The 25,165-nt window shown below is 42.4% G+C and overlaps 1 protein-coding gene across 1 annotated transcript in view; it reads right to left on the bottom strand.

Annotated features, from left to right (window-relative positions):
- SLC24A3 (solute carrier family 24 member 3) overlaps window positions 1-25,165 on the bottom strand; it is a 510,285-nt gene that overhangs the window by 142,627 nt on the left and 342,493 nt on the right. The window contains exon 4 of the mRNA NM_020689.4: window positions 226-300. Coding sequence (NP_065740.2) covers window positions 226-300 — 75 coding nt within the window. The remainder of the gene's footprint in view (window positions 1-225; window positions 301-25,165) is intronic.

The following is a 25,165-nucleotide window of genomic DNA, read 5'->3' as shown; positions in this document are numbered from 1 at the left end:
TGGGTTTTCGTCTGATTATTGATCAGAGTCATGAAATGCTCAGTAGACCGATGACACTTTTGTGCTAATATTGCCCATTGCTCTCAAACATGGTGATGCCTGGTGTTCCCGCTGCAGCTGCCCTGCGAGGGCTCCCCAGGACTTTGGTGAGGAGGCTGGAACAGTACAGGGCACAGGTCCAGTCCCCAGTCTGGCTCACACATACCAAGAATGTGAGGCACGTACCTCACAGATCTTTTCCAAGGAAGGGACGAAGAAGTCATCACACACAATGGCCAGCGCATAGAACATGTATATGGCCTGGAAGAGAGGAGATAAAAGGGGTTAAAGTTAGAGTGAGGCAGAGCCAGGAAGATGAACGTCCAGCCACCTTCTGCTTTGATAATGTCTTCTGTCATCATGAATTCAACACCTTAAATACCAAGTCTTTCCAATGCCCACAACACTCTCCTGTGACCTGGTCCCAGCTTTCTCTCTGATGTTATCACCTGTCACTCTCCTTTTGCCCACTTCCCTTTCCATGAAACATGTCATGGATTCCTGTCTCAGGGCCTTTGCACTTGTTCTTCCCTCTGCCCTGAACACTCTGCCCCAAGATATCCCACTGGCTCACGCCATCACACCCTTCAGGTCCCTGCTCAAATGGCAACCTCTTTCCCCCGCTCCCATTTCTCTCTATGTCATTTATCTCTTTGGTTTTTCCTGATACATTATATGTTAAATTAATTCATCTATTGTCTGTCTCCTCCACCAGAAGTTCATGAGGATATGATGTCATATAATTAATTTCATATAATGATTGCCATATCCGCAGCAGTCAGCACAGGGCCTGGTATATAGTAGGTACTCCATAAAGGTATGTGGAATGAGGGAATAAATAAATGAACACTTCCAACTGAACCTGTTTACTCACTGGATCCCTGCAGGAAAGCTTTGCAAACTTGCTTCTGCATCTTGGTCAGCTATGACCAGGGTATTCCCTGGAATTCTACCTTCTGGCCAGAAATTGCCTCTCCACTGTATCCAACCGCATGTTTCCTCTCCAACTAATGAAATCTTACTAGGATTTCAGTGTTGACTGACCACTCAACATCCTTCTCCCACTCTTTCCTAAGGAGACCCCAGTTTTGTCCAAATATCCACCATGCCCCATGTGGAAGGTGACCCTATCCTTTTCTCCAGGAGTGGATGCTGATTGGTCAATCAGTATGTAGTATTCCTTAGCTGTGGCCATTGTTTCAGAGGTGAGCACATGACCTAGGTTGGCCCAATTAGAGAGCAGGAAAGGCTTTTACTTTTTGCCAAAGGGAGCCATTTCTCACCCTCTGTTGCTTGCTGTGGACCAGGAAGCTGGGAGCCCTCATTGCCACTGACAGTCATATTGAAGGAATCTGACTTGAGAGGAAGTTGACCCTGAATCAGAAAAAACCTAAGCCCCCGGATAACATCACTGAGCCCTTGATCAGGTGTCCACCCTGCCTCTTGACTTCATAACATACCATGAGCATTGTTGAGGCCAGTTTGATTTAGAATGTCTCTGTTACTTGCTTCTCAAAGCATCTAATAGGTGTGGTTCAAGTTCTAGCACCCTCAGCAGTGACATTGCATTCATTTATTGACCTCCCAGTATCTTTTCCTTTTGAGAAGTGCTCCTCAGGATGGGAGTCGTACATCCCCTCCTCCTCACACAGGGCGCACACACATGACCCAGTATAGCCATAGAACATCCATGCCCTGTCACACAGTGGAGAGTCAGGGACAGGTCTGTAAGGGGCCAAGCAGAGATAAGTGGAGAAGCTGAGGCAGAGACACCCTCTTTTTATGGATATAAACACCCCACATCTGGAGCTGCTAGAGGCAGCTGTCATATAGAGAAAACTTGCCTGAGAAGAATGCTGCTCCCACAGTGAGAAGCCGACCCAAGAGATGGGACAGGCACACGCACACACACACATGCACACACACACGCATGCATACACGAAAAGTACACCCACAGGCACACACACGCAAGCATGTATGCACACACACACACACACGTCCCAAATGACACCATGTGACCCCTGGCCCCGGCTCCAGTCTAAAATCAAAATCACTTTCTAATTTCATGAGCCAATAATAGGCCTTTTACACTTAAGCAGTTTTAAGTTTCTGTCACTTGCAACTGTCCTTCATGAAGCCTCTGTGGCAACCCAAGCATGAAATGATCTCTGTTGCCTTTGACCCTTAGCAGTTGCACTAACGTAGCCCCAGGGTCCCTGCTTTGTATGAGCTTGTTTGCTTTTCACATATATGTTTGGTCTCTTCCATAAGATCGTAAGATTCTAAAGTATACTTTAACACTAGATCCTGTGGAAATATCAGACAAATGCATAAAGACATATGCACTAGTATTTTCATTCCAAAATTGCTGACTACAATAAGTTATCAAACCTAGCAAAATATACCTTGGGGAATGGGTTATATAAACTGTGGTTCATCATTCAATAAGACGCCCTTAAAAGGGATTGTGTAAATCCAATATGAAGTGATAAGGAAAGGCATTCATAATACATTGCTAAATGAAAAACAGCATTACAATGTCTTTTTTTATTAAATAATCTATGTATATGTGTATATACACATATTATATATTTGCATATAAGAGTTTGTAAGGCCATTAATCAAAATAGTGGCTACATTTCTCTCTCAGTTGGTGTGACTCTATCTGTATTTTATAATCCATAACTATATTTTGTAATATTTTCACTCTGAAATAGTATTTCTTGTGTAACTTTTGTAGGTGATGGGAGATTTTAGAGGTAAGAATTCTGTCTTATACTTCACTAATTTCTGAGGAGCCTGGGATGCTTGGCATGGAAAAAAATCTCAAAAATAACTCATTGATAGATCTATTCATAATCTGTACAAAATTATTTGCCAATGGGCTTTTTATTAAAAATGTCGATTAACGGGCACGGTGGCTCATGCCTGTAATCCCAGCACTTTGGGAGGCCGAGGCGGGCAGATCACAAGGTCATGAGATTGAGACCATCCTGGCTAACATGGTGAAACCCCATCTCTACTAAAAATACAAAAAAATTAGCTGCGCGTGGTGGTGGGCTCCTGTACTCCCGGCTACTCAGGAGGCTGAGGCAGGAGAATGGCATGAACCTGGGAGGGGGAGCTTGCCATGAGCCGAGATCGCGCCACTGCACTCCAGCCTCGGCGACAGAGTGAGACTCTGTCTCAAAAAAATAAAAAGAAAATGTCAATTAAGAATAATTCTTGCTGTACTTTGTAGCCTGGGAATAAATCAGAAAATACATTCCCAAATTGCAATGGACTCAAACCCTCTTTTGCTGTATGACTTGGCTGATCCAATGATATGCAGGTTTTAGGATTAGCTTTGAAAGGACACTCACATTAGGTAATTGGGATACAGAATTGCACATTTGTAGATTAATCAAGATCTAAATAAGCTGTTCCATAGCTGACATATTCAACTCACTGAAACAGCCAACACTGCCTAGAAGTCCATAAACCATCTCACCAAGAATATGTTCCAGTATTACATATTGATCTGGTTTTGTGGCAAGAAGCTCCATCTAACACACTGTTGTATCCACGCTTCGAGGGGGATGAGAAATGAGATCTGCCAAGCACTCAGGACTTTTGAGGGTAATGACTATCAAAAGCTGTGTTAGTTCTCGTGAGCTGGGCAGCATGAGGCGGGGATGCTCACTGTTAACCAGATACCCTTTGACATAGCACCTCTGGGCACCCAGAGAGGCCTGCGAGGTGATGAGCCCTTCTCCAGCTGCAGAGCCCTTCCTGGCACCTGACGGTGGGCCTGCCACTCTGGCTACAAAACACTCTGCTCTAAGTCTCTCTCATGTTACTCACTGGAAAACAGGTTCCTGCAGCACAAGCAAAGAGAACAAAGGAAGAAAACAAAGGTTCAAAGTCAAATTTTAGGATGCAGAAAACCTACTGGGAGTGTGACATTGATGGTACTATTAATACAACTAGCACAAATAGTTTTAATAGAGTAAGGCATCTTTAGGTTACTTTGACCATTCTTATGTTTTCAAAGGATATATTAATATCATTGACAATAATAATAATAATCACATTTGCCACTGTTTGTTGAGACAGGAATTCCAGGCATGCTCCAGGTATATTACCTGGACTTCCTCAGTTCTTCTAAATATTATATGAGGCAGGGAGTTACTGGTCCCATTTCCCAGACAATGCAGAGGGTGTGGGAACTTACCCAAGTACACATGGCTAGCAAATGGCAGGGCTTAAATTTGACCCCAGGACTCCCTCCAAGCCTTCCCACAGAGCCCAGCTATCTCCCTGTATAAAGATCATTTCTGGTTCACCACCCCATCTCCACTTTTTCTGATGTTCAGCTCATCTACTAGTGAGCTGTCTTCTCCAACTGCAGACAGTGAGGGATATTTTTAGAATTCCAGCCATCCACTTTTTGGGGCTGCCTGTCAGAGCCGTTGAAGTTCTTTATCAATATTATTATTTTTACCAGATGCACTACAAAATATGAGACAGGTTTGAACTCCTGAAAATGCTTGGGCTGGCCCAACACCCTGAGGCAGCCCAGATATGCTGTAACTCACCCTGGAATCCAAGCCCATGGCTTGGCTACAGCAGCCGGTACAAGTGAATGTGGAGTGCCTTCTGGAAACGATGAATGATAGGCATTTAGAGAAGATGGGTGGTCTTTTGGAATTTCAGCTTTAGTCTCATGATCACAAGGCTTCTCTTCCCAGGGAACTTTTTAGAACCCTCTGAGTGGGAATCTGCTTTGGCCTTGATCATGTGTAGCCTGGACCATGAGCCGTGTTTTATGTTCATGTCTCTGGCCTCCCTTTTGCTTTATGTTCATGTATCTGGCCTCCCTTCTATTGAGGGCAGCAGCTGTGTCCTCACATATTAATATCCACCCCTCCCAAGCATGGGCTCTCTATATATGAAGTGATGGATCCCAAGGAGGGTGGTGTTCGTGGAGTAGCTGGTGTTGCCTTTTTTTTTTTTTTTTTTTTTTTGAGAGTGTCTCACTCTGTCACCCAGGCTGGAGTATAGTGATGCAGTGCACTCATAGTTCACTGCAGCTTTGTTCCACCAGACTCAAGAAATCCTCCTACCTTAGCTGCCTGAGTAGCTGGGACTACAGATGTGTGCCACCACGCCCTTCATTTTTTTTTGTATTTTTTTTAGAGTCAGAGTTTCACCATGTTGCCCAGGCTGGTCTCAAACTCCTGAGCTCAAGTGATCTACCCACTTGGGCCTCCCAAAGTGCTGGGATTGCAGCTGTGAGCCACCGCAGCTGGCCTGGTGTAATCTAGCAAGGGAAATGCCCAAGTAGCAGGGACAGGGCACAAGCAGCTGCTAAAAGCAACAAAGCCTGGAGCCTTGGAGGAAGCCCAGGGCATGGTATGGGATCTCCCATCAGGTCCTAGACTTGACACTTCCAAGCTGTGTGACTTTGTGTGACTCTTCTTACTTTGCTTACCCTTCAACATGGGCCTCGTCACAGCATGCTCCCTAGTGCTTACAAGGCTGTTGTGAGAAGTAAATGAAAAGCAATGAGCAAAGGAGCTTAGACATAGCGCAGCCCCTCATGCACTGCCATTGTTGTGGCAACAATAATGATGCCATGAGAACATGCCCAAGCTAGCCTGCTGGAGGAAAAGAGACATGCAGGGTACAGACAGGTCACCTCAGTTGTCCTGGCTAAGGCTGTCAGAGATTAGCTGGCAAGCAGCTAACCCCTAGATGTGGGTGAGCCCAACTGAGACAGGCCCAGCCCAGTTCAAGTTCAACAGTTCAGCTGAACCAGAAAAACCCATGAACCAATGAATTGTTTATTGTATGTCACTGAAGTTGTGAGGCCATTTGTTATGCAGCATTATTGTGGCAGTCAGTATGTTGATAGTGTCCTTTGATGTACAGGTAACAGATACAGCCCAGATAATAAAAAGAGCCACAGTGAAAAAACAATAACGAGTAACTTCCAAGAAGCAGACTTGAAACATTCCTAACAAACTAAATGACAAAGTAAACTTCCAGGGATAGCTCCACTCAGCTGAAATCACATTTATATGTTTAAAGCATGCACTATTCAGAGGCCACCAAGGAAAATGATGATTCTATTCTGAGACACGCCTGCCTTAGGATTTGAAGAGTTATTTATTTATTAATTCAACAATAATGTGTGCAGCACCAACTCAAAGCCAGATGCGCTGCTTGGTGGGAAGGGTCTAAGACTTAATAAGTTACTGTCCTTCAACAAAGAAGAATGGCCTGAGGTCCAGTTGGAAGTACCCAACGTAAGAGGTTCACCTTAACTCAGTGTGGAGATCTTAGGACAGAGTTCTGTAATGTGGCAGATGCTGTTGGTGGCCTATTCATTAGTCATTAAACCTTTTATTTTGCAAACACAACTTCAATCTTGTTCTAAGTAATAATATGCTCAACTCTTCTGGCCTTCTTGGATCTAGTCATGGCCATGTGACACAGTTTTGGCCAATGAGAAGAAAGCACAAATCCAGCTAAAGTCACCCTATCTTCCGGCGTGCAACTTGGATGTGATGTCTGGAATGGCAGCAGCCATTTATGACTATGAGATAATAAGCCTGAGGATACACACCAACATGCTGAGGGCAGCAGGGCCCTGAGGACACCATGCACCATCTGGACTAATTCCTGAAATCAGCTCCTTCTGTATTTCTAACTATGTGAGGAAAGGACTTCCTTACTTGCTTCACTCACCATTAGCTGGGGGCTCTGTACTTGAAGCCATGTGCTTCCCTAACTGATGTGAGCCACAGAAGATACTGTGCTGGGTAGAGGTAGTGCAAGGAGAAGATTGAGGAAGTGGCTATTGACCCAGGATTCTGAGAAATAATTACTATCTCATCAGGTAATTTCAAAGGTTGATTGAGACTAATAAAACTAAAGAACTTTGTCTACAGTGGTTAAATGGAAAAACACCTAAGATAACAGGAAATCATCATGGCCCATGACATATTAGAGGTGAGCAGGCTCTAGCTGGAATGTTGATCCACATAAGGGCTTCTGAATACTGAGGGCAAATGTATTTGAATGGCAGGACGTTAACCCTGCTGTTTTATGTTGCATCGACAGTCAGCGGTTTTCACAGACAATTTCTTTTTACTACATCATCTGCACTCCTGTCTCTCTGTCTTTAATTTCAGTGAAGGTGTTGTGGAGAAGCAATTCTTAGGGAAGTGCTACAGAACTGTGGCCTTGGTGGAAATTGTTCTAAATCTTAAACCTCCCAGGGAACACGGCTGGAATAATAATAATAAAATCTTCCTTTTCCTCCTCTTTTTCATAGTTTCAAGTGATCACATATAATTAAGCTTGGAATATAAAAGTTTTTTTTTAAATTTATTTTCCCTGATCACAGGCTCTGTATCTAATAGCCCCATGAGGACAAGGTGGAACTGACCATGGGTCTGCTGTAGGGTGCTGCTACCAGTGTGAATATCATTGTTCTGGAACCATTCATTGATTCTAGTCACTAGAGAGAAATGATCAGTCTCACAGTCCAGGTTCTGAACAAGAGGATTTGGGGTGGGGGTTTGCAGGGAAGAGGAATGTAGCAGAAGGCTGCTGGTGCCCCTTCCCTTCACTATATTCTTCAGGCCTTATTAATTTAGAGAGCTCCGTTGACTTTCAAATACCAGCGAATGCCTCAATTTCTTTGAAGGCTTTTGATTTTACCACACAAAGAAGTCAAGAAATGCTTGAAAATTAACACCCATGGGAGCCCTCAAATGTTGAGAGTTGGCATATCAGTACCCCTGAGTGGGCTAACTCTAGGCTGTCTCCAGAGTTTCCCAGCTGAATTAAGCTTCAGGTGCCCAGAATATTATGTTGCATTGCTGGCTTGGTTATGGACCTGTTTTTTTCTTTTTTTCTTCTTTTAGAGATGGGGTCATGCTCTGTTGCCCAGACTGGAGTTCAGTGGCATGATCATAACTCACTGTAGCCTCAAACTTCTCAGCTCAAGGGATCCTCCCACTTCAGCCACCTGAGTAGCTAGGGCTACAGGCATGCCCACTGTGCCTTGCTAGTTTTTTTACGTAACATTTTTAGAGGGGGAGGGGGCTCCTCCCTATGTTGCCAAGGCTGGTGTTGAATTCCTGGACTCAAGCGATCCTCCCCTCTCAGCCTTCTGAGTTGCTGGGATTACAGGTGTGAGCCACTGCACCTGGCTCAGGTCATGTACCTTTTATTAGTAGCTTTGACTTTCCTGTCTCACTTTCTATTCCCCTACTGATGTTTTCTTCCTCTTCTCCAATATCACTTACATTTAAATCCTTGTCTCAAGGTCTGCTTCTGAGAGAGCCCACATTAAAACAAGAGGGGAGTGAGTTAAGGAAGATTGTGAAGGGAATGAAATACAATTTTAAATCAAAATGGGCCACTCTCAGAAACAACTGCCTTCCTAAGGTACATGGGAGCCTCTCCTGAGTCCCACCCTATGGTTATTTAGTCATTTGGCATTGGGAAAGTCTTTGGGAGCCATTACCAGCTGAAATAGTTTTCTTGCAGGGGCTCAGATTCCAAGGGAAACGAGCATATGTGAATGTACCTGCACCATTAACATAAATCCTTGAATGATTTTACTTTAAAGGAGTTTAAAGGTGCCCAGATGTGTCCTTGACCATTTAGTGTTCTTGAAGGTCACCATACTGGGGTCCCTGTTTTGGAGCCTTGGGAATGAGAGATTTGCCATCTCTGGAGAAATTTTTCAGCAGGAAAAGATTATTCTACTTTCCCCCCTTTGTTCTCCTTCTTTTTCTCCTCTCTCTCCCTCTTCCTCCTTGAAGATGCCTTTTTCACAATATCCACTTGCTGAGATATTGACTCCTGTGTTACTGAGGAAGTCATTTATTTCTTTTGGTTGTCAGTTTCTCAGGTGATCATTGCTGATTCCCCTTGAAACCCTCTGAATGAAGGCTCTGGGAACAAGGTTTGTGCAGCTGGGCTGATGCTGATGTGCTCCCTACAGGGCTATACTGAGATTCCAGTACACACCTTCTCCATTTACCTCCCCACCTGCAGTAGGGGACAATGGACCTCATCCAGCCTCACAGGTGGGAACCTGGGGCACAGAGAAGTCCAGCAGCTCAGGCCACATGACTTGTAAGTGATAGAGGCAGGATTTGAACCCAGGTGACCCACTGGGTTCAAATCCTGACCACCACACCACACCACACCACACAGCATTCCAGGAAGAGGACAAGCCTGCTTTCTACTTGAGGAACGTCTACAGCTCTAACCTCTACCAGGCCTCAAATCCCCTTCTATGGAGACCTCTCTTAAGACTGAGGCTCTTATCCTGGGGTCCATAAGCCCCTCTATCCTCCAAAGAGCACTCAAAAAGAATTCGTGAGTTTGCTAAGGATGCAAACAAATTACATCCTTGTTCTCACTAACCTCTAATTGGAATTCAGCACTTCCTTCCACTATGAATACAGGCAATATGCCACAGTAATACTGGCAAAACCTGGGAATATGTCCCCAGCAGAAGTCACAGATCTTTCATATCATATTACTCATGTTTCACAGACCTCAAACTATCATTTGTGTTCATCATTACTTCAAAAATAAGTAGCTATGAGACCTAACGCTAGACCTTCTATCCAATGTATTAACAAAGTATCCTATGTTACTATATCACTTTATGTATCCCAGAGTCACCAGAAAATGCAGATAAAATGGGGGTCCCTAGCATCACTCCAGAAGATCTATTTAGCAATCTGGGTTGGGGCCCAGGGATCTCCATTTCTAACCAGTACCAGGTGCTGCATGGGAACACACAGGGGGGTATTCTTGTACATTTCCTGGTCTGCTTCCATAAAACTCCTTGAGAAGGGGTCAGTGATATGGTTTGGCTCTGTGTCCCCACCCAGATCTCATGTTGAAGTGTGATCCTGAGTGTTGGAGGAGGGGCCTGGTGGGAGGTGATTTAATCATAGGGGCAGACATCTCCGATGCTATTCTTCTGATAGAGTTCTCCCAAGATCTGCTTGTTAAAAAGTGTGTAGCACTTCCCCCTGCTCTCTCTCCTCCTGGCCATGTGAAGATGTGCCTGCTTCCCCTTCACCTTCTGCCATGATTGTAAGTTTCCTGAGGTCTCCCCAGAAGCAGAAGCTTGTACAACTCACAGAACTGTGAGCCAATTAAACCCCCTTTCTTAATAAATTTCCCAGTGACAGGTAGGTCTTTACAGCAGTGTGAGAACAGATAAATACATCCAGAATAGTGGGGAGGTCTAATGTACCTGTCAGGGTCTGGGCAGAAAGCAGAAGCCAACTCAAAAGGGTTTGACCAAAGAGAACTCTTTTCTAACTGAAGAGAATTTAATGAAGGACTTATTTGCAGCAGTGCAGTCAGGGTTAGGGGAACCAGCAAAGATGGTGGAGACCCCCAGAGCCTAATAACAACGGGAACCTTTGGCCTGAAGGTGCAAGAGGACACGGAGTTGCTGCAGCCTGGTAAGTGTGGGGAAGGGGGTTAAGAGCATGTAGATGATCACAGGAGTGGAGGGAAGCAGCTGCCGCCAGACCCTGGAGAGCCAGGAGGGAGCAAAAAAGAAGTGTCTGGGCCTCTCACTCCTCCTGCCCTCCCCTCTCCTGTCACAGCTTCCCATCAGTTGAGGTGAAAGCTAGAGGTGTGGGAGCCCTGGGGCTAAGGTCGTTAGAGGCTGATCTCCCTGTCCAGAGCAGGGCAGAGAAGAATGGAGAATGGGAGAGGGGTTGGAGCAGAGAATAACCTCCCAGGAAGCTTGGGAAAGGATGGAAAGGAAATGGGAGGCACAAGTGGGACAGGAGGGCCACAGGAGTGGAAGGATGAGGAAAGGGACATGAACAAGTCCTTAAGTCTAACTCAACATGAAGACACCAGGCCTTTATCACTTCCTTGCCCTCACTGCCGATGTACTAAGGCCCTCAATAAGTACATACATGATAAAATCATTGTACAAAACAAGTACGTGCAAAGCATCAGGACACAGGAAACATAAAAATACAAGTAGTGGGTTAAGAGGAGGAAGCAGAAGAACACTGATATGGCATCTTACATCCCCTGTGGATTTGTGCCTCCCAGAAGTGCTGGGGGCTGGCCAGGGAAGGGCAGGCCCATTACGCTGGACAGGTCTGACCTCCCACAAGGGTTCCCTGACCCACTCTTTCTTGGGTTCCTGAGCTGGACTGCTTCCTGGGGTTTGTGAACCATTTCCATTTCTAAGTCAGCTTATGTATTCGTTTTCTTAAGTAAGATAGAGGAAAGCAAACCTAGTTGGGGAACTGGAAGGGCCAATAACTCCGAGAGGGGCTGCATCATTAAAAAAGTCTCTCTGTATCTATCTCTCCCTCTATTTTAGTCACTGTTCATATATACACAGTATATATTGGATGTATCAACATATACAAATATTGTATATATTCCCACATATCTATTAGTTTGGATTAAATGTTTTAAACTATTTTTATTGTGGTAAAATAGGCATAACATAATTTACCATTTTAATAATTTTAAAATCTACAGTTCAGTGGTGCATTCATGCCATGAAACCATCATCGCCATCCATCTTCAGAGCTTTTCTCATTTTCCCAGATTGAAACTCTGTCCTTATTAAACAATAACTCCCCATTTTCCCTTCTCCTTAGTCTCTGGTAACCATCATTCTCCTTTCTATGAATTTGACTGTGCTAGGTACTTCATACAAGTAAAATCATATGATATTTCCTCTTTTGGGACAGGCTTATTTCACTTAGCATAATATATTCAAGGTTCATCCCTGTTGCAGCATGTGTTAGAATTTCCCTCCTTTATAAGGCTGAATAATATTCTATTATATGTCTATACCAAATGTGCTTATCCATTTATCTGTCTACGGACAGTCTGTTTCCACCTTTTAGCTGTTGTGAATGATGCAATATTCTTTGAGTCCCCGATTTCAATTCTTATGGGTATAAACCCAGAAGTGGAATTGATGGTTCACATGTAATTCTGTTTTAAATCATTTGAGAAACTGCCATACTATTTTCCACAGCAGCTGCACCATTTTGCATTCCTAACTATAGTGTAAATGGGTTCCAATTTCTCCACATCCTTGCCAACACCAGCTATTTTCTGATATTTTGATAGTAGTCATCCTAATAGGTGTGAAGTGGTATCTTACTGTGGTTTTAATTTGCATTTTCCTAATGATTACTGATTTTGAGCATCTTTGTATATGTTTATTGGCTATTTATATATCATTTTTTTGCAGAAAAGTCTATTCAAGTCCTTCGCCCATTTTGAAATCAAGCTGTTTGTTTTTTGGTTGTTGGCTTGTAAGGGCTCTTTATATATTCTGGATATTAACCCCTTATCAGATATACGATTTGCAAATATTTTCTCCCATTCTGTGAGTTGCCTTTTCACTCTATTGATTGTGTCCTTTGATGGACAAAAGTTTTAATTTTTGATGTATTCCAATTTATTTTTTCAGCCACTCTAATGTGTGTGTGATGGTCAATATATCTATTTTTCTGCTGCCAAGAGATGGTGACTGAGACATGGTTTTGGATTTGGTTAGAAAGTTTATTTTTTCTTTTGAACTTTTAGGTTTCAGGGATAGATGTGCAGGCTTGTTACATGGGTAAACTGAATGTTGTGGGAGTTTGGTGTACAGACCATTTAGTCACCAAGATAATAAGCATAGTACCTGATAGGTAGTTTTTCAATCCTCACCTTCCTCCCACCCCTACCCTCAAGTAGGTCCCAGTGTCTGTTGTTCCCAGCTTTGTGTCCATGTGTACTCAGTGTTTAACTCCCACTTGTAAGTGAGAATATGCAGTATTTGACTTTCTGTTTATTAATTTGCTCCAGCTCCATCTATGTTGCTACAAAGGACATGACCTCATTCTTTTTTATGGCTGTGTAGAATTCCATCGTGTATATGTACCACATTTTAAAAAATCCAGTCTACTGTTGATGGACATTTAAGTTGATTCCATGTCTTTGCTTTTGTGAATAGTGCTGCCTGCAATGTCTTTATGGTAGAACGATTTATATTCTTTTGGACCACTTGTGAACTATTCTATATATTGGGTATATACCCAGTAATAGGATTGCTAGGTCGAATGATAAGTTCTATTTTAAGTTCTTGACAAACCTCCAAATGGCTTTCCACAGTGGCTGAACTAATTTACATTCCCAGCAGCAATGTATAAGCATTCTCTTTTCTCCTCAACCTTGTCAGCAACTATTATTTTTTGACTTTTTAATAATAGCCATTCTATCTGGTGTGAGATGGCATCTACTTGTGGTTTGAATTTGCATTTCTCTAATGAGTAGTGATGTTGAGCATTTTTCATGCGCTTGTTGGCTGTGTTATTATGTCTTTAAAAAAGTTCATTTTTGAAAAAGTGAAATCCCCTCTCACTGCCATCCTCCTGAAGCCCTGCTGCCAAGCATGATGGAGAAGCAGAAATGTTTCCTGGTTTTCCTGGCAACTTTCCCCTGGCAAGCACACACACACTCTGTGAAGCATGATTCTAGAGGAAGATACCTTCCTGGTTTGAGTCCATTAATTATTTTCCAAGGAAGGGCCTCTCTTGTAGAATAAGGAATGTTAATTCCTCCTACATCTATATGAGTTTCCTTCCTTTTCAAAGTATTACCCAGTAGAAGTCTTCATTTGGTTCGTACAAGAACAGGCATAGATGATTGAGGTTCTTTATCCCCATTCTGTGGTTGAGGGAAAGAATGACAGGCACAGGGTGGAGGCAGTGAGCAATGAGAAGTGTGGGAGTCCCTGGTGTTGTCAGAGGCTGCTGCCTGGGCCATGACCTCAACTGCCCACAGGAAACAGCAGGGTGTGGGAATGTAGAAATGAATGAGGTAGGGCCCACTGCTCACTGGACAGTGGAGGACCATCTTTGACTCAGCCAGTTGTTGCAGGAGAATACGTGCTTAGTGTGGTCAAAGCTTCTGATTCTTTAAGAAAAGCTGCAAAGCTGGGCTTCTAGATACAATCTCTTGATTTTGAGTAATGGACACTAAGTAGCCACTCTGTTCTCAGATCCTTCTCCCTTGCTGCTGCCTCTGTGCCAGGCACACTGGCTTCCCGGTTGTTGCTTGAATGATCTTGGGACAGTTTAGTTTACTTTTGTATCCTTAGTTCCAGAGCAGTACCTGGTACTCCTTCTGGAATTTGAATGAATAAACGAATGAATGAATGAATGAGCTTTCAGTGGGCCAAGCCCTGGGCTCAGTGCTTGATATGCATTAGCTCATTTCACTTTCCCAATAACCAACATACAGAAGTTGGGCCTGCTGAATCTCTGATTCACAGATGAGTAAACTTATGTTTGGAGGAAATAAGAAAGATGCCCGATTTACAGAGTCAGCATTCATCCAAATTTAGTGCCACATGACTTCAAAGCCCCTGATCTGAATCATACAGCCTCCACTCTCAGTAGACTCCAGGCACTGAAGATGCAGAATTCCCTACCTGTCTGGTCACCATCCCATTCATTCATTCATTTAAAGGTGCCATTTAGTGTGAGAGGGAAATTGGCTCTCAGGTGATAGGAATCAATACAAGGAAAAAGGCTCCGAGGTCTTGGTTGGGTTGCTCAGAAGTAGACCCTCAGATAAGAGTCCATATGCAATGGGGGACCAATAAGGTAGTGGCAAAGGCAAGACAAGGAAGAAGCAGCAGCCAATGAGGGGTGTGATGCCAGGTGACACCTCAGCCTTAGCCTCACCTGCACAGAATGTGGATTGCACCACAGAACTTGAGGCAAAGCAGCTGGACTTTCCTACTACTATACCAATCAATCATTGGTTATTTGACCCCCCACCCCCCGAGAACACAAATTCCCAGGTCGTTCTCACTCTCAGTGCCTCCTGGTGAAGTGGCTCTAGTAGCCTAAGGTAGTTCATTGAAGGTTGTAGGGGTGAAACATTCGTAGCAAAGCACACAGAGCTGCTGGATAGACACACAAACAAGGAAAGAGAATTCATGTGGATCTAATGGAGCCCCAATATATCTTCTACATATGTAAGCGGAGCCTTTGAAATTAAAGCTAAACCTAGACTTACTGGATTCCACAAACCCACAGAGGAGGGACACCTAACCTAGGTCTTAGAGAATGAGAGGATGGAAGCCGGGTGTGTTGGCACACGATGTAATCCCAGCACTTTGGAAGACTAAGGTGGGTGGATCACCTGAGGTCAGGAGTTCAAGACTAGCCTGGCCAACATGGTGAAACCCCATCTCTACTGAACACAAAAATTAGCCAGCAGGGTGGCGCATGCCTGTAATACCAGCTACTTGGGAGGCTAAGGCAGGAGAATTGCTTGAACCCAGGAGGCAAAGGTTGCAGTGAGCTGAGAGTGAGAAGATAATATGGTAGGATTATCTGGAAGAATTGATACCTACATAACATCTGAGAAGATGAACAGGCATTAGCCATTAGGAAGGAAGTGGCAAGGGAACAGAATGAGTAAAAGCATGGTGTCAAAAATTAATGTGGTTTATCTTGAAAACTACAAATTATTCACTGTTGCTAGTATGTAGATTGTGTATGAGGGAGCACAAACAGATGAGACTGGAGGAACAGGTAAAGTTCATTCTAGGAAGGACCATGCTACTTGGATGTATAAGTTCAGGTTATCTGTCTTGAACAGGAATCACTGCTGACTCCACTAGATGAACCTTATCTGATGGTGATAATGAATGAGGTTTTGACAGTAGTGGTGATGATGATGGTGACGATAGTGATTGTGATATGATGATGGTGGAGACAAGGATGATGAAGTTGATCACGGTAATGGTGATGAGGAGGAGATGGTGATCACGATGACAAAGATGTTGGTGATGATGATAGTGATGATGGTGGCATTGATGATGGGACTTCAATCCTGTTTGTGTGACTCCAATCCAAGCCAGAACCCATGAATCTAACCCTGATTGCTTTCAGCAACATGAGAGGAAGCTCAGAATGCCCGTGACCTCTACTGGTTCATCAGATTCTTTCTTCCCTTTTACCCTCTCCCACTTTTCAATGATATTCCCTCCCTACTACTCCTCTAAACCCCAGTGCCATACCCTGTGGGAGTTCTTCTGATCCCAGGTAAACACTGGCTGGCTAGAGGTCCTGTTTGCCAATACTGGGATCTTCCTCTTCAGGCTTACTTGAGAAGTGAGGACAATGACTTCTGTCTAGGTATCTACTGTAAATATTAGATCATTTAAATTTTCTAGAGGCCTTTGAAATTTCAAAACTCATTCAACTGTCTACAAGATGATAGAGCTCTTCACTTCAAGGTTGGTAAGAAACCTACTTCTTGCCTAAAGGTTCTTATTAGTAACCTGAGCCTTTCCGAGGGTTATCACAATAAGGTAGGAATTTTCGTGCCAGTTACAGCAATGTTTATTGCCCAACATTGTGCTTTTAAAAGATACAAGACTGGTTAAAATTATCAAGATTTTTGCATTCTTGCCTTTCTGTCACTTTCTTGTTCTCTCTGCAAACTCAGACTCAGGAGCTGATGGACATTGCTGCTACCAGATAACATCAAACAGTGGAACTGCTGGCCAATCAAGGGCAAGCAACCAGGACTTCCAAAAACAGAATAGGCCTGAGACACAGGACGCCAGCAGGCTCGTAATCTGGCGCCTCTTCAAGCCTATATTCTTTAAATATTTATTCAACATTTATTCTGTGGAGGAGGGAGGAGAAAACTAATCTTCTATTAATAAAAAAGTGTGTATAGAAATAAGCCTCTTACTAATTCATTTCCCCTGGCACAAGCATAGTCAATATTCTGCAAACAATTCTGCAAAATATCTCCCATTTTCCTTTCATTGTTATTTTCTTTCAAGTTTCTTTTGTATGTTTCTCAAGCAGGCAACTTCTTGTGGGTGTATTTGAAGTTTTAATATTTAATATTTAGACAGTGAACACATTTTATTTAACTTGGGTAGCTACCACACACTGTTGAATTTTAAAATCTCAGCTGGCGGGGACAATGTGAGCACCTATGAGATATATGTTATATGCATATTTAGGCTAGCAATAGCAGAAGAAAAAAAGATCCTTCAGGTAGAGGGGATGGCTTTTTGTCTTCAGTTGTGCGGATTAATTTGTCTTCAGTTGTATAATAACTTCTGTCACGTGGAGATCCAAGTTAAGCAACACCATATTTCCAGTTTATTATAATGATGTTTGAGTGCCCATTGTAGATTGGCACCCTGAGAAGGTGCTCAGGGGGTCACCCTACAATCTAGCTTTGTGCACCCAGCTGCTGAAAGCCATAGTAAGATTCCCAGGTTGGGACCATTTCTTTAACTGCCTCTCTATACTGTATCCTATTGCCAGAACTGACCTAATCCCATAGGATGTGTTCCTGGAGTGGAATATGATTTCTCATTAGCGGTGATGGGCCAACTAGGTCATCCTAGGGTGTCTAGCCAGATCGTTCTCATGATAGGTACAAAGAGCTAACAAGCTGGATGGCAGTGGGTTAGGGGCCCAATCTGAGGCTGTGTGTGTAAATGAACAAAGCCAACACACTTGTGTGGGGTTTAAACTCTGACCTTCGGTTTTATTGCTTAAGATTTAGTACAGCTAACGAAGCCATACTGAAGCTTCTTATTACAGCACTTTCAACTTCACGCTTCAATGACAACCCATTAAAATAATTACCATATGATTACTATGGACTTCTAACTAGGAAGTTCAAAACCTCTCTTGTTAGACAATTAGCTCAGTTGGGCACATGGGCTCCTTTGTCTCTGACTGATGTAGGCTAGCTTGAAATTCAGGGGTATTCCAGGGAAACCTTGGTACCTGGACATCAGCACAGATGACTCCTGGTCTCAGTATGTCCTTCTTGCAATCTGTTCACCCAGTGTGCCCTTAGAGAGCAATCAGAACTCAAGAGAAAGATGTTCTCAGACAACATTTTGGTTCTACGGCTGTTAGAGGAACAATGTGAGATATTCTCATTGTTAATGAGAAGGACCTACACTTGCAGTTTGCAGATGCTGCCACCAATGTTTAGGAGCCATGACTACAAAGCAGAGAGCTAAAATTTAATCATGCTTCCAGTTACCTTCCCCAGGGCTCAGAAGAAGCAAGAAGCAGAGTCACAAATGGGAATCCAGGAGATCATATAAAGGCACACTGGGGTAAGGCATGCTGAAGCATGAGAGAAATAAATTTCCTTGAGGTTATAAAAAGACTGGACTACAGTGGTAGCTTTGAGTTTTGGCAGTTCTCTTCTGCACCTTACAAAACAGGAATGGAAGAAATTTGCTAGCTGGTTACCCTTGCTCTGCCCAGATGTAAATAAGTCAGTGAAGGTAGTAACGATACTGTGGTTACAAACCAGGAATCAGACAGCCTGGGTCCATATTTCAGCTGTATGACTCGAGCTATTTTGACCTCACTAAGGCTTCAGTTTCCTTTGTGTGTAAAATGGGAAAAATAATAGTGCCAACCTCATATGGTTGTTTTAAAAGTGGATAATATGTGCAAAATTCTTAGCGCAATAGCTGGAATGTTTCAAGCATTCAGTAAGTGCTAGATAGTTTTATTGTTGCTGGGGGTCATTATTATTTTAATCCACTTGTTCAAAAACTGGGACCAACTGAGTAGAAGTGGATTTAGGGAAGCTTGCATATGTTCTTCTTTACAAAATCACCAGGAAAGGTCAGCAGGCTTATTCTTCGACTGCATCTGTGGGGGCTACTTCCATAGAAACAGACACATAGGAGTGGTGTGCTGAAGAGGTTGGTTTATTTTTCTTCCTTTGACTCCTAAGAGCTTTTGCCCATCCAAAGAAACCCAAACCAGATTTCACATTCTAACAAACACATGATTTAGGATTCCCCAGCGGTCATCAGGGATGACCAACGCAGTGGTAAAATCCAATCTGCCCCTGGATCCGATGTTAATTACAACTGAAAAGCGGATGGTGTCTAAATCTAGGCCCATCTGTTCCACATCTGTGGGACATTTCCCCAGTGGAGAAGACAGAGCCATAGCCAATTTCTTTTTGCCCCAAGAAAGACTGGGATTTTGCATTTAAGAAAATATCTTATTATTTGTCATGATAAGATTCTCTCTGATCTACATAACCACAGAAACATTAGGTCAGAGGTCCAAACAAGGAAAGGTCAGCGGAAATACTCCCGGAATGTAGACGGCTTACAGGAGCTCAAGATGCTACCACAGTGAGATAGTCTGGAGACAAAAAAATATTTGAATCTGACTTGCCTATCAGTTTGTGAGACAACCCTCCTCCTCATCCACACGTACATATGATTCTAATTATTAAGTGGCTTGGATGGAGAAATTATTTGTTTGGATTCTATTAATTATACTTACATATATTTTAAGGACTGACAAAGAATTACCCTTTCTTCGAAGAATACAAAATGTACTAATGGAACAGAAGGATGAAAGTCATGCTCCTGTAGGGAATGCCAGTGCCACTAGAGTCTGGTCAGTGGGGGCTTTGAATCCACTGACATCAGCCAATAAAGAAAGCATTATTTAATGGACACCGAAGGTCCCTATTCTTGGTTATATTTTATCATCAACTTTGCACCAGACAGGGAATTATACCTCTGACTGTGGATCTAATGGGAGGTGTTGTGGAATAGCAGTGATCCAGTGTTTAAAACGTGTCTGGTACAGGGAGCAGATGTACCCTTCTGCCCACTTCTGACAATGGACAACTTAAGATACACTGGCAGTTTCCTACCCATGACAGCTTCCTACCCACACCTCACCCTGTGACTTTCTACTTTTCTGCCTGCAGCTCCTACCAGTGCTAGAGAACTTTTCTCAGCCCATGTGCGGAGCACCCTGAAAGTGCCCGGGTTTTAAAAGCCCAAGAACAATTAACAACAACAGAGAGACAGGAGTAGGAATTGATGCCTCAGTGACCTGGTCTTCTCCACCCTCCTTGGGACGATTTTGAGTTGTGGTCTACATAGTTCCTCTGAGACTCTTCCGCAGGATCGAGCCCCAGTTGTCCTCAGTGTTATCAGCTCTTTAATTCCCCCCTTTGTTGGCTTCCTCTTTTTCCGTCTCATTTCTCTCACTCCCTCACTTTTGACTCCTGGGGATCACTCCTGGGGATCAAATAAACTACCTGCACCTGGGGCTGTGCTGGAGTGGGCTTGTATCTCATGAACTGTCATGAGAGACAATTATTAAAAATTCAGGACTGTTGTAAATCAGTTAATGTAACACTAGTAGTTGAAAACTTGCCATGTGAGTATTTACACCACGGAAATTTGCAAATGCTACATGTCAGGGTTTTTATTATTTATTTATTTTAGGAGAGCCAGTTGTTAAATATTTATGAGCACACTGTTGTCTTCACCCAAGTCCTCATCTAGGGTTTGCTTTTGGGAGCACTGAAACTATGAGTGTGAGTAGCAAGTGCTCACAGAAGCCAACGTATGAATATTTATGATAAAAAAGCATCAAAATTTCTCATAATTATTACAAATAATTATGTAATTAATGATTCTCAGGGCACTTAACTGGTGGAAGATAATCTGTTACTAGATTTAGAGTTAAGGGAATAGGTAGAGAAACTAAAAGGAAAGTATACCAGGAGCTGTTGCCACTTGAAAGTCCTCTAGAAGAAAATATAGGAGAAAATCTTTGTGACCTTGGGTTACACAATGATTTATTACATAGAACACACAAAAGGAAAATGAAAAACTAGGAAAGAAAAAAGATTGATAAAATGAGCCACATCAAACGAAACCAAACAAAACTTAACAATAAAAGTACTTTGCTCTCCAACAGATGCTGCTAAGAAAATGAAAATGCAGGCCATAGACTGGGAGAAAATAAGCACAAGCTATGTATCTTATGAAGTACATGTATTCAATATGTATAAAGAATACGTACAACACAAAAACAAAAGAAATAATCCAATTAAAAATGAACAAAAAATTTGAGCAAACACTTCACCCAAAAAGATAATGAACAAGAAGGTGATGAAAAGATGTTCATATTATTTGTCATTAAGGAAACAAATAGAAGCCACAATGAGGTACCTCTACACACTCACTAGAATGACTAAAGTAAAGAAAGCTGACAATATCAAGTGCTTGTGAGAGCATAGAGCAGCTGGAACCTCAGATATTGCTGGTGGGAGTGTGAAAGGTAAAGCCATGTTGTAAAACAGTTTGGTAGTTTCTTACAAAATTCAACCTATACTTACATGGCACTCCCAGGTATTTACCCAAGATAAATGAAAAATCTGTAGACACTAACTATTGTACATAAATGTTCATAACAGCTTTATTCATAATACCCCCAAACCAGGAGCAATCCAGATGTTTATCAATTAGTGAATGGATGAACGAACTTTAGTACTTCCATACAATGGAGTTCTTCTTGTTAATAAAAAGGAATAAACTGCCTCTTTACACACAGCACATACATATAACTATATGGATGGATCTCAAAAGCATTATATATCAGTAATAAGGCATATCAACACCATGTACTGATATGATATGCTGACAGCTGTACAACGTCACTGTGGTATTCCTGCTGAAAATCTATAAACTCAACAAAATCATGAGGAAAGAGATGACAAACTTAAACTGGCCCAAGCTGTTCAAAATTTTGAAGGTCCTAAAAATAAGAAAAGACCAAGGATCTGACATGGAGAGGAGGCTACTAAAGAGACAACAACCAAATGCACTGTGGGATCTTGGGTTGGACCAGACAAACAGCTTGGTGGGAAAACTGGTGAAGTTTAAAAATGTCTGTAGACGTCAAATTTGTGATCTTGATAATTGCACTGTGATTATGTAAGATGTTAACATTAGGGGAAGCTGGGTGAATGGTATAAGAGAATTCTCTGTGCTATTTTGCAGCTTTTCTGTATATCTAAAATTATTTCAAAATAAAAAGTTTCTTACACCACTGCACCCCAGCCTGGGTGACAGAGCGAGACTCTGTCTCAAAAATAAAAAAATAAAAAATAAAAAGTTTATAAAAATGATATTTTCTTTGTGTAAAATTATATGTCAGTAAAGGTGATTTAAAAACTTAGTAAGCCCATGTTTCTTACACTGTGACTCAGAGAACCTGATGTTTCTTCAAGGGCCCTGAAATGAGGACACAGTAAAGAGGGGAAGCTCCATCCTCATTTCCCTCCCCCATCTTCTATTGCAGGTTATGCTTCAACGCATTTAGTTCTATTTTAACATCATCCATCCACCCATCCATCCACCTACCCATGCATGTACACACATACACACATAAATATATTTATTCTGTTATGACTCCATTAAAAAGGGGGGATATTATTGCTAACAACTATGGAAAATTTCAATACCTTTATATTTCAAAACATTCCATTTAGGTCTAACTTTCAGAAACTTGCCTTTGAGAAAAATGAAAGTGGACAAGTTCAGCTTGGTGGCTCAAACAATACAGATTTAAGTCACTGTTAGAACAGATTTGTCACACCCAATTGGGACATATTTGCCCAAGATTCTCAAGTGATTAGTTTTGTGTAATTCTTCCACTAAGTGGTATTTTCTGTCTTAATGCACAGACAGAACTGTGCTGCATTCTTACTGACCTCAAAACCCAAAGTAATAGAGAAAAGAAGTCTAACTAGAAAACAACACCAGGCAATCATGAGGTCTGCAGACGGCTTATGGGAGCTGAATATTCCCCACACTTAGGGTGGTTTTGGAGACAGCTACTGAGTTTGAGGAAGTGATTTGTCAATAGATGGACATAGGGGTTAGCTTGCAAATGTTTAGTAACTGACACTGGGGGATGAAACCTTGATTTGTAGCATTTTCTGATGTTCATGGTGTAAATACTACCACCATGATTGATTGGAGGCTACCCCTGTGATGTCAAAGTTGGGAAGAGTTGTGCATAATTGACTCTTGCAGGCCAGCCCAGGCCATCTCCAGCACACCACTGCACAGACATGCTGGGGCAGGATTCAGTATACTGATAATTGGGAGAGGATTTCACAAGTGTTTGTAGGTGGAAAAGACCTCTTTATCTAGCGGATAAAAGCCATAGAAAAGTCAAGATATCACTAGGACAAAAGAACCAAGATGACAGGAGGAGTAAACAACCACAGTTTGCCCTGCTGAGTGCATGAGCTGCAGACTTCTAAATCCTGCAGGAACCTGAGCCTCACTGGGAAGGATCTCCAAAGGGCTGGGGCTGTGGACAAGCCCAGAGAACCTTGGGCATCTCATTGGCAGCACATAGCAGAGGCCCAGGGAGCAGTCAGACCATGGAGAAGACTTTACATTTTAGGCCACTGGAAATGAATACTTTTTTAAAAAAATGGGTTTTGTTTTGAGAAGTGTAAGGAATATTCAGCTTCCACAAGCCGTCTGCAGACCTCATGATTGCCTGGTGTTGTTTTCTAGTTAGACTTCTTTTCTCTCTTACTTTGGGTTTGAGGTCAGTAAGGATGTGGCACAGTCCTGTCTGTGCATTAAGAGAGAAAATACCACTTAGTGGAAGAATTTCACAAAACTAATCACTTGAGAAACTTGGGCAACAGTGTCCCAACCAGTTGTGACAAGCCGTTTGTAGCAGTGACTTAAATCTGAGTTGTTTGAGCCACCAAGCTAAAATTGCCTTTTCTTTTTTTTTTTTTTTTTTCACACACTGGCCACTACAGTGACAATTTTACACTCTAGCTAAAAACAACATCTTTTTCTCAATTCAGCATAATTATTTAGGGTTTGCTGGAAGAAAACCCACACGTATTAAATGACTTAATGGTGAAATTATTCAGCTGACTCTAAATTCTCTACTAATTTGGACGATGGGGTGGGAGAGAGGACAATTTAATAAGACAAACTGATTATTAACACCATGACTGATTTTCCCACTAGAATACTTTGCTAGCAAGAAAAGAATTTTATTTTTGGATTTTCCTTATGCCTAAGGCACATAGAGAAGGAGATGAGAAACAGGCAACTCTGGATGCCGGTGGTGCTAATGGTCTGAATGTGTATGTCCCCCCCAAATTTATATGTTGAAACCTAATCAACAATATGAAGGTATTGGGAGGTGGGGCCTTTGGGAGGTGATTAGGTCATGAGGGAAGACCCCTCATGAATGGGATCAATATCCTTATAAAAGAGGCCCCAGAGAGCTGCCTTGCCCCTTCCACCATGTGAGGACACAGCAAAAAGGTGGCATCTCTGAACCAGAAAGGCCTTACCAGACACCAAATCTCCTGGCTCCTTGATCTTGGAATTTCCAGCTTTCACAACTGTGAGAAATAAATTTCTGTGGTTTATAAGGCACTAGTCTAAGCTATTTTGTTAATTATTTCAGCCTGAATTGACTGAGACACATTCCATGTCTTTTTGTACATCTTTGTGACTACCAGCATTTACTTGACTTGGGTTTTTGAAACCCTTGGTGTGGTGTATTTGTCATAGGGAGGAGAGGGGTCCTTCAAAACTCAGAGTAATTTACAATATTCTTCAGTCATGTACAAAGATGGGGTTTCTTTTGAATGCATAAAATAAGGGAACTGGTTTTACGATGCTCTGTTCTGTTAATCGTCTTCAAATCAAGAAACTGAGGTCCATAGAAGACAGACTCAATTTTCTCAGTGGGGAAGGAACAAGTCACTGGTGCCATTACAGCAGAAGCAGATCTCTTTAAGTCTCTGTAGACCAGTGGTTTTTGTAATACTTCCTGGAGTAATCCAGGGATTGTCTACCATTCTAGGATAGCCATGCATCTATTTTTCTTTCCCATTGTCGAGACTAATGGAAGAAGAAATATGGCCATTCTTGAAGTATAAATCCAGTAGATTGGAACTGGATGAATTTCTCATTCATCAGAATTCCTTGGCCTCAGTTTTGTTTCTTTAAGAAGTGTCAAATCACGACCAGGGGCCTCTGACATAATCTGCTTTTGCTGCCACCACTGAGCCTCTTCAGGATCCTGGGACATTCACTGTTATCTGGTGTCCCTTGGTGGGTGGCTTATTTATGAGTAGCAAGTACATAAGTTCTTCTCTTTGTGAGTCTCTTAGCTCAACACTAAGCATGAGTTTTGGCATCTTTCTCAGGGTTGCTAAA

This window comes from Homo sapiens, chromosome 20, assembly GCF_000001405.40.
Source record: "Homo sapiens chromosome 20, GRCh38.p14 Primary Assembly".
In the NCBI taxonomy this organism is placed as follows: domain Eukaryota; kingdom Metazoa; phylum Chordata; class Mammalia; order Primates; family Hominidae; genus Homo; species Homo sapiens.
The sequence above is the reverse complement of the archived record's forward strand: the minus strand, read 5'-3'. Positions and strand labels throughout refer to the sequence as shown.